Source organism: Homo sapiens, chromosome 10, assembly GCF_000001405.40.
Source record: "Homo sapiens chromosome 10, GRCh38.p14 Primary Assembly".
Taxonomy (NCBI): domain Eukaryota; kingdom Metazoa; phylum Chordata; class Mammalia; order Primates; family Hominidae; genus Homo; species Homo sapiens.
In genome coordinates, this window is record NC_000010.11 from 47,695,764 (window position 1) to 47,712,571 (window position 16,808).

The following is a 16,808-nucleotide window of genomic DNA, read 5'->3' on the forward strand; positions in this document are numbered from 1 at the left end:
ACAGCTCACACGTTTTGCTCTACCTACAATTGTTTCTACCTGTTGGTATGTTTAGTTCTACCTGATTCTACTCTATCCGCCTTAGATATACAGCTCTCTCTTTCCAGTTGGAAAATGTTCCCTACCTCCAAAGTCTTTCACTTTTAACTTGTGTGGAAGATAATTATCGTGCTATTTAGGGAAAAATAATCAAGTATGTTAAGAATGCCTTATATTCAGATATATTTATAGTAGAAGGGACCAGTGCATACTGAATATTATTACTCTCCTAGGCACTACGGCTTTGGAACCACTACTTTGCCTTCTGGTCCTAAAAAAAATTATTTTTGATGTATCAGAAATATACATGATAACATTTTCCTTATGTAAATAAAAGCTATTAAACCTTTTTTATATAGAGCAGTGGACTTCCATACTGCTATCATTTGAATATAAAGAAGCAATTTTGTTAATTTACCTAGATTTAGATTTTAGATTTGCTGTTTTGTCATTTCGTGCCCTTAGGCAGGTTATTTAACCTATTTGATCTCTAGTTGCTTGGTATATGGGAGGCATGCATAATATTTTGCTGTGACTAGTAGGTTAACCACATTGTGAAGGAATTTATGGCATGATCAGAATGTTTTTTTCTCTCTCTAGATGTTGTTATTCATGAGGACCAATGGATTGGTGAGACAGTACTACAATCAACATTTAGCAGTCAGTTATTAAATCTTGGGAGTTATTCATCTATTCAGCCTGAAGAATGTAAGGCACATTTTAAATGAAGTAATGTATTAGTGTTTAAAGTATAAAAACATACTAGGAAAGATTAGAGTTAAAATGGTTCTTTTACAAAATGTTTTCTAAACAGTTGGAGAGTATTGGTTTCTTTTCATTAGTAAGAATGAAAATAGAATTTTAAGAAATGAACTTGTACATTGTAAATCACATTTATTTTAAGAAGTATTGGGTATCATGTTTCGTTTTCTTAGGCTGTCAGTATAGTGGTGGTTCTTCACCTTTTAGGGAGTCAGAGACCTCTTTGAGAATCTATAGACCATTTCTCCAGAAAACTGGACTTATGTAGATAGGCACAAAATTTTGCTTATAATTCTAAAGCATTCCGTGGACCTCTGAAGTTCTTCTGTGGAACTTCTGAGCCTCTGATTAAGAATCCTTGAGGTAATAAAAATGTATTGGTCTCGTATTCAGACAGCTGTGGTTTGAATCCTTATTCTCCTGTCTACCACTGCTAAGAAAAGCTATCTTTCTTCTTTAATGTCCAGTTTTCTCTTCTTTAAAAGAAGCTGTTTAATGAGGAAACTAGCAGCTATCTCCTCCACTAGGAAATAAAATGACATAAAAAAAAGAAAGAAAACAAAGTAAGGGAAACAGTATAAACTTGTGGTTTTGGTCACTGGACTCAGATAGACCAGGATTTGAATCCTGGCCCTCTTACTTCCAGTCTTTGTCTTTAGGCAAGTTATTTCACTTCACTATACCTTTATCTCCTTTTCTGTGAAATGGAGATAAAAATACATATATACCTTATAGGGTTGTTATGAAGATTAAGTGAGAAAATGAATATAAGATGTTGAACCTGCACATAATGTAGTAGTAACATAGTAATATTAGAGGGAGAAATAATAAGCTAGCAAAATATATTTGATAAAATGCTGAAGTATCATACAAGAAAATAGCTAGAGAAATATACTGATTATACAAGAAGATAACTGGAATAATAGGAAAGTTATAGGATGTATATGGAAGATAGAGCATGGAATTCCAATCTTTGAATTCTTAAAGAAAGGCAGAGCAAGTAGAAGGGAAGAGCAACAATTAGAATAACAAGAACTGTGTTTGGGATGGGCAAGGTTTCATTATATACTAGGGTGGCCCATCAGCAGAAAACCAACTCTGACATATTTCATAGACAACTCAAATAGAGTTCTTCATCTATCCAATATATATTTATTATGTGTTGACATTGTTTCAGGCACTGTGTTTACTGTACACTGGGGGTACAATGGTGCCTGTCCTCCTGGAGCTTATGTTCTCATGTGGAAGACAGACCAAAAAAAATGAATGAAACAGACATATAAGTAAAATATTTGCAGGTGATAATGAGTGCTATGAAGGAAACTAACAAAGGGTTAAGATACAGAATGCCATGGTTCTAGTTGAGAAGGATTGATCATGGAGTAGAATCAGGGTTAGGAAGTTGTTACAATAGCTGCAGTTGAGAGATAATGGGAGGCCAGTGGAGCTAAAGAGCCGAGATATATTTGTAAATAGAGTTAATAGGATTTTCTGATGATGTGGGTCTGGGGATCAGGGAAGAGGGACAATCTACTGCTACTGGATTACTGGTTTAAGTAACTAGGTAGCCTTTATTGTGAAAGACTGAGAGGGAACTGGTTTGTGGGGAAAAGGGCTATGTTTCAAGGCATGTTAAGTTTTAGATATCTTTGAGATATTCAAGTGGAGATGTCATATAAGAACTGGAAACAAAGTTCAGGACTCAGAAGACAGGTTTAAAATTAAGAGGCAAATTTTAGAGTTATTAGCATACAGATAATATTTCAAATTTAAAAGTTTTTAAAATAAATATTATCTGTATAATTATAGAATCACAGGGGATTGCAAAAATAATACATAAAGTCCCATGAACTCTTCTTCTAGCTTCTCCCAATGGTGATATCTTATATAACTTTAGTACAATATCAACAACAGGAAATCAACATTTGTATAATACTGTTAACTAGTAATATACTAGGATACTTTCCCTTTCAGTATCAATAAATATAGTATCAGCCTGGCACAGTGGCTTATGCCTGTAATCCCAGCACTCTGGGTGGCTGAGGCAGGAGGATTACTTGGGCCCAGGAGCTCGACACCAGCCTGGATGATATGGTGAAACCTCATCTCTACTAAAAATATGGAAAAATTAGCCAGGTGTAGTGGTGCACACCTGTAGTTACAGCTACTGGGGAGGCTTAAGTGGGAAAGAAAGTTGAGGCTGCAGTGAGCCATGATTGTACCACAGCACTTCTGCCTGGGTGACCAGAGTCAGACCTTGTCTCAAAAAAAATTTTTTTCTTAAATAAATAAATATAGCATCAATACAGCATTATAATATGATTAATACTATATCAATAAAATAGATACTTAGTCCTAATGCCAATGTCTTATTTAATAGAAAAGCACTCGAGGCATTGTCATTAAAACCAGGAAAAAGATAAGGATGTCCACTATCTCTGCAACTATTCATCTTATACTAGAATTATCAGCTAACGCACTTAGACAAGAAGAGGCATCTGGTCTGGTGCGGTGGCTCACGCCTGTAATCCCAGCACTTTGAGAGGCCAAGGTGGGCGGATCTCTTGAGGCCAGGAGTTTGGGACCAGCCTGGCCAACATAGCAAAACCCTGTCTGTACTAAAAAGATGAAAAATTAGCCAGGTGTGGTGGTGCATGCCTGTGGTCCCAGCTACTCAGGAGGCTGAGGCATGAGAATTGCCTGAACCTAGGAGGTGGAGGTTGCAGTGAGCACCTGTACACTGCACTGCAGCCTGAGGGACAGAGCGAGATTCTGTCTCCAAAAAAAAAAAAAAAAAAAAAAAGAAAGAAGAGGCATTTGAACATTTGAATGGATAAAGAAGAATGAAAATTATCTCTATTTACAAATGCTCTGATAACATACCTGAAAACTCCAGGGAATCAAAGTTAAAACAAATTTAAATAATAAGATAATTCAATGATATAACAGGATGCAAAATTAATGTTAAAAAATATCATTAGGCTGAGTGCAGTGGTTTGCGTCTGTAATTCTAGCCCTTTGGGAGATGAAAGTGGGTGGACAGCTTGAGCCCAGGAATTCAAGACCAGCCTGGGCTACAAAAAAGAAAAAGGAAAAGAAAAAGAAAAAGAAAAAAATGCTGGGTGTGGTGGCACACACCTGTGGTCCCAGCTGTTTGGGAGGCTGAGGTAAAAGGATTGCTTGAGCCCAGGCTGGGGGATGAGGTTGCAGTGAGCTGTGATTGCACCACTGTACTCCAGCCTGGGCAACAGAGCAAGGCCCTGTCTCAAAAAAAAATAATAATAATAGTAATTAGACAATATACACAAATAACAAACAGAGGGCATAATGATAGTGAAAAACTCATTTACTATAGTAATAAAGAAGATAGTTCAAAATACAGTTAACAAGAAATATGCAAAGCCTATATGAGGAAAAAATTTAAACACTCCAGAAAGAAATGAAGACATGAATAAATGGAAAGACATTTCCTGTTCTTGGATAGGATGACTCAACATTATAATGATGTCAGTTCTTCCTAAGTTAATATGTAAATTCAATGTAGTTCCAATGAAAATATATGTGTTGTGGCATATAAAAGTTGATACTAAAGCTCATATGGGAAAACAGACATGCAAGAATAGCTAGGAAAAGACTGACAAAGGAAAACTACAGAGGAGGGGAACTAGCTTTACCAGATGTTAAAACATACTATAAAGCCTCTGTAATTAAAACAGTGAAGTACTGATGCATGAATAGACAAGTAGACCAGTGGAATAGAGTAAGAAGATTAGAATTAGACCCACCTACATATAGCAATTTAATATATGACAAAGATAGTATCTGGAATCAGTGAGATAAAAGCTAACTTCTTAATAAATGGTGCTGAGACAACTGGGTAGCCATTTGGAAAAAAGGGAAAATTGGACACGTATCTCACAACAAACAGTAATAAACACCATATGGATTAATAGTCTAAATGTAAAAAATAAAATCATGCAACAACAAGAAGGAAACCTGAATGAATCCTCTGTAATCTTGGTGTAGGGAAAGGCTTTTTCTTAATATTACTCAGAATCCAGGGGCAGTAGAAGATAAACTGATACATTTTACTGTAGAAAAATAAATTTTGCATAACCAAAACACTATAAACAAAGTCAAAAGACAACTGACAAACTTGGAGAAAATATTTGTAACATACAACAAAAGGCTAATATCCCTAATATATAAAGAACTTTTAAACCTTGAGTGACAAAGTCTGGGTGTGGTTGTTCACACTGGTAATCATAGCATTTTGGAAAGCTGAGGTGGGAGAATCACTTGAGCTCAGGAGTTTGAGTCCAGCCTGGGCAACATAGTGAGACCCTGTCTCTACAAAAAGTCAAAAAATTAGCCAGGTGTGGTGGTGCATGCCTATGGTCCCAGCTACATAGGAGGCTGAGGCAGGAGGATTGTTTGAGCCCAGGAGGTCGAGGCTGCAGTGAGCTGTATTCATGCCACTGCACTCTAGCCTGGCAAAAGGGAAAATGTGAAAAAGAGATGAACAGTCAATTTTCAAAAAAAGATATAAAAATGGCTATCAAATATAACTTATTAGAGAAATTCAAATTAAAACTACATGGAGATACCATTTCTCACCTATCAGATTGGCAAAATTAAAAAAAAAAAAAGCACATTCTGTTGGCGCAACTGTGAGGTAATGTGCCCTCTTATACATTGGTGGTAGGAATGCAAATTGCTACAACCCTTTTGAAGGGATATTTGGCAATATCTAACAAAATTACATATGTACTTAGCTTTCAACCTAGCAATCCCACTTCTAGGAATCTACCCTGAAGCTACATCTCCAACAATATGAAAATACATATCACAAGGTTATTCATTGCAGTATTGTTTATAATTGCAAAATATATAGGAGAATGATTCACTAAGTTATGGTACATTCACATAGTGGAACACTATGTACTATGCAGCTGTACAAAAAGAATGAAAAAGATCTCTACGAACTGATATGGAGTGATTCCCAGGACATACTGTTATGTGAAAACATAAACCCCCCAAAACTGTATGTAGTATGCTGTCCTTCCTGTAAGAAGGATTGGAGGAATAAGAAAATACCTCTGTTTATTTGTGGAAAGAAAATGCAGGAAGGATAAACCAGAAACTAAAGAGATTGGTCACCTACAGGGGGCACGTAGGAGAGGGGTGGAAGAAAGTGGGGAATGGGAACAGGATAGCAGGGGTCAGGAGGAAGTGACACTAACAAATGAATGTATTATTGTTACAAATGAACCCAATATTGTTACAAATGAATAAAATAACTACACAGAAGGGGGTGGGGAAGAAAAGAACAAACCTAAGTAGCTGTGGAAAAGAGTATATTGACTGGATTCTATAAGGCTAATGACAGAAAGGACTGTACATAAATGCTGCAATCTAGTTAGAAATATGTTTCTCAAAGGGGAATGGCTTAGCAATAACCTTATGTACATACTAGAATGAACAAATGAGTACATAGATTGTAGATAAGGAAAGCTGGATTTCTCACTGTTGGAGAAAGAAATTATAAACAAGGGAAGGTTAAAACGAACCAGAGGTATTGTTATAAACTGAGGATTTTTAATATAGATAAATGGATACAGAAATATAGGCATGTGTATATGGGTGGGATAGTACACATACATAAACATCTCCTAGTTCTGTCCATTGAGCGAGCACAGCACAGATGCAGTTACTCCCCAGTAATAATGAGCATACCTGGTGCCCAGATCTTCGTCTGTAAACATTTTCTTTTCTTTTCTTTTTTTTTTTTTTTGAGATGGACTCTTGTTCTGTCACCCAGTCTGGAGTGCAGTGGCGTGATCTTGGCTCACTGCAACCTCTGCCTCCTGGGTTCTAGCAATTCTCCTGCTTCAGCCTCCCAAGTAGCTGGGACTACAGGTACGTGCCACCACGCCCAGATAATTTTTGTATTTTTAGTAGAGATGGGGTTTCACCATGTTGGCCAGGCTGGTCTTGAACTCCTGACCTCAAATGATCTGCCCACTTTGGCCTCCCAAAGTGCTGAGATTGCACGTGTGAGCCACCGTGCCCGGCCTCTCTTTTTTTGAGACAGGGTCTGGCTCTGTTGCCCAGGCTAGAGTACAGTGGTGCGATCTCGGCTTACTCCAACTTCCGCCTCCTGGGCTCAAGCCAGCCTCCCACTTCAGCCTTCCAAGTAGCCGGCACCATAGGTGTGCACTACCACGCCTGGCTAATTTTTGTATTTCTTGTAGAGACTGGATTTCACCATGTTGCTCTGGCTGGTCTCGGACTCCTGGGCTTCAGCAGTCCACCCATCTTGGCCTCCCAAAATGCTGGGATTACAGGTGTGAGCCATTGTGCCTGGCCAACATAGTTCTCTAATGAAAGGAACCAGCTCTGCTAAAAGTGGTTGATTACAGGACTGGGTCAGGGCAAATTCAGGATAAGCCTGGAAGTCTAGTGGTGCCAGACAAGACATGTTGAAATAATGCAAGAGCCAACCTGAAGGAACACCTACTGGCTAAAGCTGAAGCAATTTGAGTAAGAAAATAATGATAGTATTGGATTAGAACCCATAGATTAAAATCTTTACAAATCCTTACTGATATAAAGACATATTTATTTCATTAACTAACCAGAGGGGAAGAGAGAGCTCTTCCTTCCAATGGAATTCCAATTAATAAATCTGAGAGAAAAGAAAAAAAAATAGAGAATTACTGGCCATGCTCAGTGGTTCATGCCTATAATCCCAGCACTTTGGGAGGCTGAGGCAGGTGGGTGGCTTGAGCCCAGGAGTTCGAGACCAGCCTGGGCAACATGGCAAAACCCTGTCTCTACAAAAAATAGAAAAATTAACCAGGTTTGGAGGTGTGCCCCTATGGTCCCAGCTATTCGGGAGGCTGAGGTGGGAGGATTGATTGATCCCAGGAGGTTGAGGCTGCAGTGAGCCGTGATCATGCCACTGCACTTCAGCCTGGGCAACAGAGTGAGACTCTGTCTCAAGAAAAAAAAAAAAATACAAAACACAAAAATAGAGAATTACCATCAGGCAGAGATCACAATAATAAATACTGCACCGACACAAATGCACTGATAGATGCTAAAATTAGTAGGTGAAAGTCTGAGGAGAGAGAGCATTGCATAGTCTCAAAGTATCTCCCCAGGATACCAGCTTACTAGAGGGAAAATAATAAATTTATAAGAAAACTCTTCAGACACCAAGTTAACTGAGTGATTGGGGTAAATATCACCAGTAATAAGATGTATGGTATCATAAATTCTTTGATATTATCCATTGAGAAGGATCCACCATATTTTTTGTGGAATTGCCAAAAATGCATAACTTCATTCCAATCATAAAACACTGGAGAAACCCAAAGGGAAGGACGTTCTACTAAATAAATGATCAGGATTCTTCATAAGTGTCAAGGTAATGAAAAAGAAAAGACTGAGAAACTCTTATAGACTAGAGGAGACCAAAGAGAAATAACAACTAAATGTGAGGTGGGATCTTGGATGAAATCCTACATAGAAAAAGCATATTAATAGGAGAATTGGTAAAATTTAAATAACATATACATTTTAATTAACAATATTTAATTAACGTTAGTTTCCTGTTTAAGATAATTTATAATATGTGAGATGCCCACATTAGTCGACATAGTGAGGAATATAAGGGAACTCTGTACTATTTTTGCAACTTTTTTGTAAGTCTTACATTAGTTCAAAACAGAGTTTTTAAAAGAGCTGTATACGATCATCTCAATAGGTACAAAGAAAGCTTTTGATAAAATTCAACACCTGTTCATTAGGAATAGAATAAAATTTTCCTTAACTTCATAAAGAGTGTCTTTAGAAAACCCAGAACAATTATCATCCTAATTGGAAAAATATTAGAAGCATTCCTTTTAAAATTCAGGAATATGACTAGGATACTACTATTACTACTTTTCTTCAACACCATATTAGAGTTATTAACCAGTGCAATAAACATGGAAAAATAGATATGTAAAGATTGGAAAGGTAGAAATAAAACTGCCATTATTATAGATGGTTTACATACCTTTTCCCTCTGAAAACTACAAACAAATTATCAGAAATAATGTGAAAATTTAGCAAAGTAGCTGGATATAAGATTAACATACAAAAGTCAATCACATTTCTAGAGTAGAGCGACTAACAATAACAAAGGAAGCTGTCATTGACAACAATATTATTTTGTACTAATAGTAATAAATGTAACAAAGTATGTGCAAGACCTAAAAAAGGAAAAATTTTTAAATGAAGAAAAACTAACAAAGAATGAAATAAACATACTTTATTCATTAATTGGAAGATTTAACATTGTGAAGATTTCAGTTCTTTTCAAGTTGATTTGTAAATTCAGTGCATGTTCCATAAAAATCCTCGTAAGATTTCAAGGGCGCAGTGGCTCATGCCTGTAATGCCAGCACTTTGGGAGGCCAAGGTAGGAGGATCTCTTGAGGCAAAGAGTTAAAGACCAATAAGATTTTCATGTAATTTGATAAGATTATATGATATTTATGTAGAAGAGTAAGTGGTTGAAAACAGCAGGGCATTTTAAGAAGAAAAGCAGGGAAGAATAATTTACCCTATCAGCTATCAAGACTTAGTATGAACCTATAGTAACTGAGATGGTGTGGTTTTGCCCAGTTGAAGTCAGTTAAATTTTAATTTTGAGATTTCTGTAAAAGATACAAGTTTAGTCTTTTATTATGTATATTTGAAGGTGTTACATTTTGGAAAGTGTGTGTGTATGAATGATAGCTAAATGGCTTCTAAGTAAAATTCAGCATATCTTGTAGATGTTGATAGAATAGAAGGGGAAGGAATGTTTTGAAATAATGAAAATAACATGGTATGCAAATGCTTTGCAAGAGATTTGGGAAATGTAGATATCTCTGGTTTTAAGGATGATCTAGATTCAAGTAATAGTTCAGTAATTTCATAAAACTCTTATGACAAAATTCTGGATGGAGAATATTCTATGAATCCCCTAGAGAGTTTCAGGTTTTTGTAGAATGATGTGAAAAATCTTGAACTAATTAGATAATCTTTAGAAGTTACTTCACAATCTTTGTTTTTACACATACACAGGAATTTATGGTGCTTTATTTTTTACAAGTTAGTAGCTAAATAAAGTATATTCTAAAGTTTTTTATTGATGTAGGGAAATGGCTACCAGTGGACATTTTGAGAATATTGCAGTTGTTTTCCTTCTGAAAGAGTAAACCGGGTCATGACGCAGCGAGTTTCAGTCGTGACTTTTCTGGGGGCATCGCGGCGTCCCCTTTTTTTGCCTTTAAAGTAAAACGTCGCCCCGACGCACCCCCCGCGTATTTCGGGGGGCGGAGGCGGCGGGCCACGGCGCGAAGAGGGGCGGTGCTGACGCCGGCCGGTCACGTGGGCGTGTTGTGGGGGGGGAGGGGCGCCGCCGCGCGGTCGGTTCCGGGCGGTTGGGAGCGCGCGAGCTAGCGAGCGAGAGGCAGCCGCGCCCGCCGCCGCCCCTGCTCTGTATGCCGCTCTCTCCCGGCGCGGCCGCCGCCGATCACAGCAGCAGGAGCCGCCGCCGCCGCGGTTGATGTGGTTGGGCCGGGGCTGAGGAGGCCGCCAAGATGCCGCAGTCAAAGTCCCGGAAGATCGCGATCCTGGGCTACCGGTCTGTGGGGAAATCCTCATTGACGATTCAATTTGTTGAAGGCCAATTTGTGGACTCCTACGATCCAACCATAGAAAACACTTTTACAAAGTTGATCACAGTAAATGGACAAGAATATCATCTTTAACTTGTAGACACAGCCGGGCAAGATGAATATTCTATCTTTCCTCAGACATACTCCATAGATATTAATGGCTATATTCTTGTGTATTCTGTTACATCAATCAAAAGTTTTGAAGTGATTAAAGTTATCCATGGCAAATTGTTGGATATGGTGGGGAAAGTACAAATACCTATTATGTTGGTTGGAAATAAGAAAGACCTGCATATGGAAAGGGTGATCAGTTATGAAGAAGGGAAAGCTTTGGCAGAATCTTGGAATGCAGCTTTTTTGGAATCTTCTGCTAAAGAAAATCAGACTGCTGTTGATGTTTTTCGAAGGATGATTTTGGAGGCAGAAAAAATGGACGGGGGCAGCTTCACAAGGCAAGTCTTCATGCTCGGTGATGTGATTCTGCTGCAAAGCCCGAGGACACTGGGAATATATTCTAGCTGAAGAAGCAAACTGCCCGTTCTCCTTGAAGATAAACTATGCTTCTTTTTTCTTCTGTTAACCTGAAAGATATCATTTGGGTCAGAGCTCCCCTCCCTTCAGATTATGTTAACTCTGAGTCTGTCCAAATGAGTTCACTTCCATTTTCAAATTTTAAGCAATCATATTTTCAATTTATATATTGTGTTTCTTAATATTATGACCAAGAATTTTATCGGCATTAATTTTTCAGTGTAGTTTGTTGTTTAAAATAATGTAATCATCAAAATGATGCATATTGTTACACTACTATTAACTAGGCTTCAATATATCAGTGTTTATTTCATTGTGTTAAATGTATACTTGTAAATAAAATAGCTGCAAACCTCAAAAAAACAAAAAAAAACAAAAAAAAGAGTAAACCAATTTGGTTACTCATTTTACCAATTTGGTTTTGATTTTGCAAGTGGTTACAACTCATGAGAGGATTCTTATTTCTGATCAATATATTGTGTTTTTGGAAAGGACTTCTGGGAAATAATTATGATGAAGCCCTCGAGCAATTGCAACAAAACCAAAAATTGAAAAGTGGGACCTAATAATACTTTTTTAAAATTTATTTTTTAGAGACAGGATCTCACTCTGTTACCCAGGCTGGAGTGCAGTGGCCTGATCATAGCTCACTGCAGCCTCAATCTCCCAGGCTCAAGAGATTCTTCTACCTCAGCCTCCTGAATAGCTGGGACTACAGGTGCATGCCCCCATGCCCAGCTAATTTTTGTATTTTTTGTAGAGACCAGGTTTTGTCATGTTGCCCAAGCTGGCCTTGAATTCCTGAGCTCAAGCGATCCTCTTGTCTTAGCCTCCCAAAGTGCTGGAATTACATGTGTGAGCCACCACTCCCAGCCCCAGAACAACTATTATTAAAAAGTCAAAAAACGACAGATGTTGGTAGGCTGTGTAGAAAAGGAAATGCTCGTACACTGTTGGTGGGAATGTAAATTAGTTCAGCCGCTGTTGAAAACAGTTTGGGGTTTTCTCAAAGAAGTTAAAACTGAACTATGATTTGACCCAGCAATCCCATTACTAGGTATATATCCAAAAGAAAACAAATTGTTCTACCAAAAAGACATAAGCACTTGAATATTCATTGTAGCACTATTCACAGTAGCAAAGTCATGCAATCAACCTAGGTGGCCATCAGTGGAGGATTGAATAAAGAAAATGTGGTACATATACACCATGGAATTCTACACAGCCATAAAAAGGAATGAAATCAGGATGGTGCGGTGGCTCATGCCTGTAATTCCCACACTTTGACAGGCTGAGGCAGGCAGATTGCTTGAGTCCAGGAGTTTGAGACCAGCCTGGGCAAGGTGGCAAAACCCTGTCTCTACAAAAAATACAAAAAAATTAGCTAGGTGTGGTGGTGCACACCTGTGGCCCCAGCTATTTGGGAGGCTGAAGTGGGAGGATCACCTGAGCCCAGGAGGTGGAGTTTACAGTGAGCTGAGATTGTGCCACTGCATTCCAGCCTGGGCAACAGAGTGACACCTTGTCTCAAAAAAATAAATAAATAAATAAATAAATTGCAGCAACACAGATGCAGTTGGAAGCAATTATCCTAAGTGAATTGAGGGAGGAACAGGAAACCAAATAACGTGTATTCTCACTTATAAGTGGGAGCTAAACACTGGCTACTCATGGACATAGAGGTGACAACAATACACACTGGGGACTACTAGAGGGAGAGGGTTGAAAAACTACCTGTTGGGTACTGTGCTCAGTACCTGGGTGACAGGATCACTTGTACCCCAAAGTTCAGTATCACGCAGTATTCCCAGGTAACAGACCTGCACATGTACACCCGAATCTAAAGTAAAAGTTGAAAAGAAAAGACTTCTGTTCTTTCATCTTTATAGTGAGGTGTTACATGTTTTACAAACCTAGTTCTGATAATGTGACAGGAATATAAATTTATCTTGAATATTATTAAATATATAAGTCAAAGATCAACACAGTGTTTCCATGAGGTAGACTTTTTTTGGAATCTAAATAACCATGTGTTTCCATGTAAATTTTTATGAATCAGGGACAAATATATAATTTGATGTCAGAGATGTTTTTGTTCCCCAAAAGCTCTATCTTGTTCATGAAAAACGAAGCCCAGAGAAGTTATGTACAAGTTCACAGAGCTCATTATTGACAAAACCAGAATTTGAATACAACTCTTCTGATTCCAGATTTGCTGGAAATACTGTGAAAGAAGAATTCAGTCTGGTAGTATTACGTGTGGTTTTAATTTTTTCTTTGTAACTTTAGTTTGAATTTTATGTGTGTGTGAGCATCTGCATTTACTTTTAAAAACTTTTATTGTAAAAGCCTTCAAACATATACAAAAGTAGAGAATACAAAGCATAATGAACTTAAGTACCTATTAGCCAGCTTATTAAAACATGGTCAGTCTTGTTTCACCTGTTACATCCCTTTTCTTTTACTGTCTAAAGGAAGGAAAGAAGAATCACAAATCAGTTTATGAAGTCTGCTTTCTAAAAAGTACTTAAGTGTTTATTGCCAATATCTTATTTTGGTCAGCAATCAATCACGTACTCAAGCATACTTCTCTTACCTTCAGAGAAATTAAAATTTAATCAGCAAAACTCATCAGCCTGTACATTTAAAATATATGCATGTTATTGTACAGAAACTATACCTTAATAAAAAGTGAGAAAAAAAAATGAGACAGGAAAGAGAAAAACATTTAAAAGACATAGTAACTGAAGAATTAAATAACCAATCCAACACTTGAAAAATATTACAATGTAGCACATGCTTAAAAGCTCTCTGAGCTCAGGGAAAAAAGCAGCACTGTGAATCTATAGTGGTCATCATTCTATGTGGTATTGGGTAGGACAAGAAGACAGCCTTGCAGCTGGAAATTGGTGAGGACGGAGGCCTCGTGTGGAAAGAGTAAGGCACACTCAGGGAGAGAACCAGTGAGGTGGCTCTGAGCCTGTTTCAGAAGGGGCTTGAGGAAGAACGGCAGAGGCTAGGATAGTTGGGAAAGCAGGATCAAATCAGACTCCAGGGATTGGGGAACCAATTGGCTGTTACAGGGTGGTGGAGTCAAAAAAGAACAGAAATTTTGTGTTTGGTTAATTGATAGAAAATGATATTATTAACAAAGTAAAGAAGTATGGGAACAGCACAAGTTTTTTGGGGATAGTAAATAATTCCATTTCCATTGATTAAAAATATCAAGTTTATTTTTACATCTAAACTGATTCAAGACTTAGCTATTGTACATGTTTTAGAGAAAACAAAACTATATTTTATATCTAATCATACTTTACAACATAAAATACAGTTCTAAAAAATATTATTTGTCAAGAAAAATGTAATGTTGCCATCTTTTGTCTGTATGCATGTTTTTTTTCCTTAGATTCCAGTGTAGTTAGTGACGTTGTACTTCAAGACTTACTGGCATATGTGTCCTCAAAACATTCCTACCTCAGAGATCTTCCTCCGAGACAGCCTCAGAGGGTGAACAGTATAGACTTTGTAGAATTGGAGCACCTTCAACCTGATGTGTTAGTCCACGCAGTACTAAGAGTTGTTGATTTCCTATACTGACAGGTAAACATTTTGACTGCCTCCTTAATTTTAGATTATGAAAAAATTAAGATACAAGACCATCTTAGTGTACCATTTGGTTATCACTATATATGTATCATCAGCTATTAAAGTATGGTATCACGTGTGATAGAGTAATGCCAACTAAGATACTCATTTTCCTTTTCCAGAGGCAGTATACAGTTATAGAGGACAGAAGCAGAAAAAAGTTATGTTAACAGTGGAACAGGCCCAAGATCAACATTATGCGCTTGTATTATGGGGTCCTGGAGCAGCCTGGTACCCTCAACTTCAAAGGAAAAAAGGTAAATACACCAAAAAGCATTTAACCTATTTATATTTCGGTAAATGATTAATGTTTATGAGCCCAAGATGGAGAAAATCTTAAGAGACGAGACAGCATTTGAAATACAAGTGATCATGATTGAATATTCTTCTGCAAATTTCTTCTGTTAAAATTTTGTACCTCTTGTAGCAATTCATTTATCTAATAAGTCTTCATTAATTAATGGTGGTGAAATAAAGGCTTAAATTTATTCCCAGATATACTACTTTACCTTTTTAGTGAAGATCTTACCTCCTTCAAATAATGTTCTTTAAACATTTAATTCTGGAGAAGCTTCTACAATTTTTTTTTCAGCCAGAGTACTCTGATAAATAAATGCTATGATTATAAGGCAGATGTCAAGGGAGTTACCTTAACTCTTTCAAGTCACAATTAATGTTCAATAAATTACAGTTTCATATTTTTATTATAGTTGTTTTAAAAGCATGCACTGTTAGCCATCCCTAGAATGTTCAGTGTTAAAATATGACCCATGATTACATTTTTCTTTAAAGCATAAATTATTTCTGGTATATTGAATTAAATGGAATTGATGTTTCATTAAAATAGTATAGTGTCTTCCCTTTGCTCTTGTGAGATCCTTTAGTTGTAACAATCAAAGACAGTTTCATTTGTGGCTTATGAGTTATTTTTCCCTGCTAAATTAATTTAGAGATTGATTCAGTATATTATTATTTTTTACCTGAAAGAGTTAATGTCTCTCCAAACTTCTGCCTTCCAAATAGTTATTTGTAGATAGGATCTATCACATTGTCTCTCTTAATCATTAATAGCTATGACTAGGATTTGAGATAAGTCTAACTTTGGACTTTTATGTTAAGATCAAACAGGGACAGATGTTTGGTTGAGCAAGCTGACAAACATGTATCAGTGATAGACTAACTATGATCATTGACCACCATAGCCTGGCTGAGAACATGAGTCTAGTGCATGCTACACAAGAATGTAGGTCACAGGTATAGTGGAGCTGTAACAGAGCAGATTGCTCCATGTTTAATGTGAATATTCTTTTAAAATTAATAGTTTTTTGGTTAATAGAAGAGAAATTACAGTTGTCTCTAGGTGACTCTATGGTGTTTAGGTTAGTATTGAAAACGTATGAATCCAGGAATTAAGATGTTGTTGTTCTTTGTACATTCATTCATCCAGCCCCCCTTATTTGTAACCATCATTTTAAAGTTTTAACATCTACTTCAATACCTCACATCAGTCTTTTTAAGATAAAAATACCAATTTTGAAGGATTACTTAAGTAATTCTATTTTCCTGATTTTACTTTTCTTTTCAAGAGACCAACCCCATTTCCAAATTCCCAGCAAAGAGAATCTGATTGCCCAGAGTAAATTTGATTCAAAAAACTGTGATCAGGAAGACAGGGTCACGCAATACAAATATGAGAGCTTGAGCTTATTTCAGTGGATGGGAAAACAGTTAAGGGAATCATTTGTGATCTGGGTGAATACATAAAGATATTCACTACCAAAAATGTGTATGTTCATTAGCTTAGAAAGATATATGTAATGTATTATTTAGTTTAAAAAGTAGATTATAGGCCAGGTGTGGTGGCTCACTCCTGTTAACCCAGTACCTTGGGAGGCTGAGGTGGGTGGATTGCTTGAGCCCAGGAGTCCAAGTTCTCATCTTAAAAAAAAATAAAAAATAAAAAAAATTGGATTGTAAAACTTCATGTATAGAAAATATATTATGTTATCATATAATAAATATTTTTATGTTTATATAAGTTAATACACAAAAATTTTCAAGAAAACCCTTTATATATGATAGTATCTCATTTTAATAAAAATGTATCTATAA

At 36.9% G+C, this 16,808-nt stretch overlaps 1 protein-coding gene, 1 long non-coding RNA gene and 3 pseudogenes across 6 annotated transcripts in view, besides 1 other annotated feature; 3 read left to right on the forward strand and 2 right to left on the reverse strand.

The window, feature by feature from the left end:
- The window catches only part of ANXA8 (annexin A8), a 523,804-nt gene that overhangs the window by 227,771 nt on the left and 279,225 nt on the right, over positions 1-16,808 (reverse strand). The window lies entirely within an intron of this gene.
- SHLD2P3 (shieldin complex subunit 2 pseudogene 3) overlaps positions 1-16,808 on the forward strand; it is a 41,519-nt pseudogene that overhangs the window by 6,064 nt on the left and 18,647 nt on the right. For 2 of the 3 annotated variants that reach the window (NR_160661.1, NR_160660.1), the window contains exons 1-3: positions 10,298-10,969; positions 14,458-14,651; positions 14,819-14,953. The product of NR_160661.1 is annotated as a shieldin complex subunit 2 pseudogene 3, transcript variant 3 (transcript). Of the gene's footprint in view, positions 1-639; positions 748-10,297; positions 10,970-14,457; positions 14,652-14,818; positions 14,954-16,808 lie in introns of those variants that run through there. The other variant, NR_027634.1, reaches the window with a different exon arrangement.
- RHEBP2 (RHEB pseudogene 2) lies at positions 10,059-11,405 on the forward strand (annotated as a pseudogene).
- Positions 10,059-11,405, forward strand: LOC107984289 (Ras homolog, mTORC1 binding pseudogene; annotated as a pseudogene).
- Positions 10,284-10,783: an enhancer, noted in NCBI's record as "H3K27ac hESC enhancer chr10:47396067-47396566 (GRCh37/hg19 assembly coordinates)". NCBI's record gives its function as "activates a minimal SCP1, AML or CMV promoter by ChIP-STARR-seq in naive H9 embryonic stem cells {active_cell/tissue: H9 hESC(naive)}" and the evidence as "EXISTENCE:reporter gene assay evidence [ECO:0000049][PMID:30033119]".
- Positions 12,745-16,143, reverse strand: LOC102724603 (uncharacterized). 2 transcript variants are annotated; one of them, XR_007062139.1, is made up of 4 exons: positions 15,677-16,143; positions 15,226-15,312; positions 13,450-13,516; positions 12,745-12,888 (listed from the first exon to the last, which is right to left on the reverse strand). It is a non-coding gene; the product is annotated as an uncharacterized LOC102724603 (long non-coding RNA). The 2 variants fall into 2 exon arrangements; XR_007062140.1 differs by lacking the exon at positions 15,226-15,312.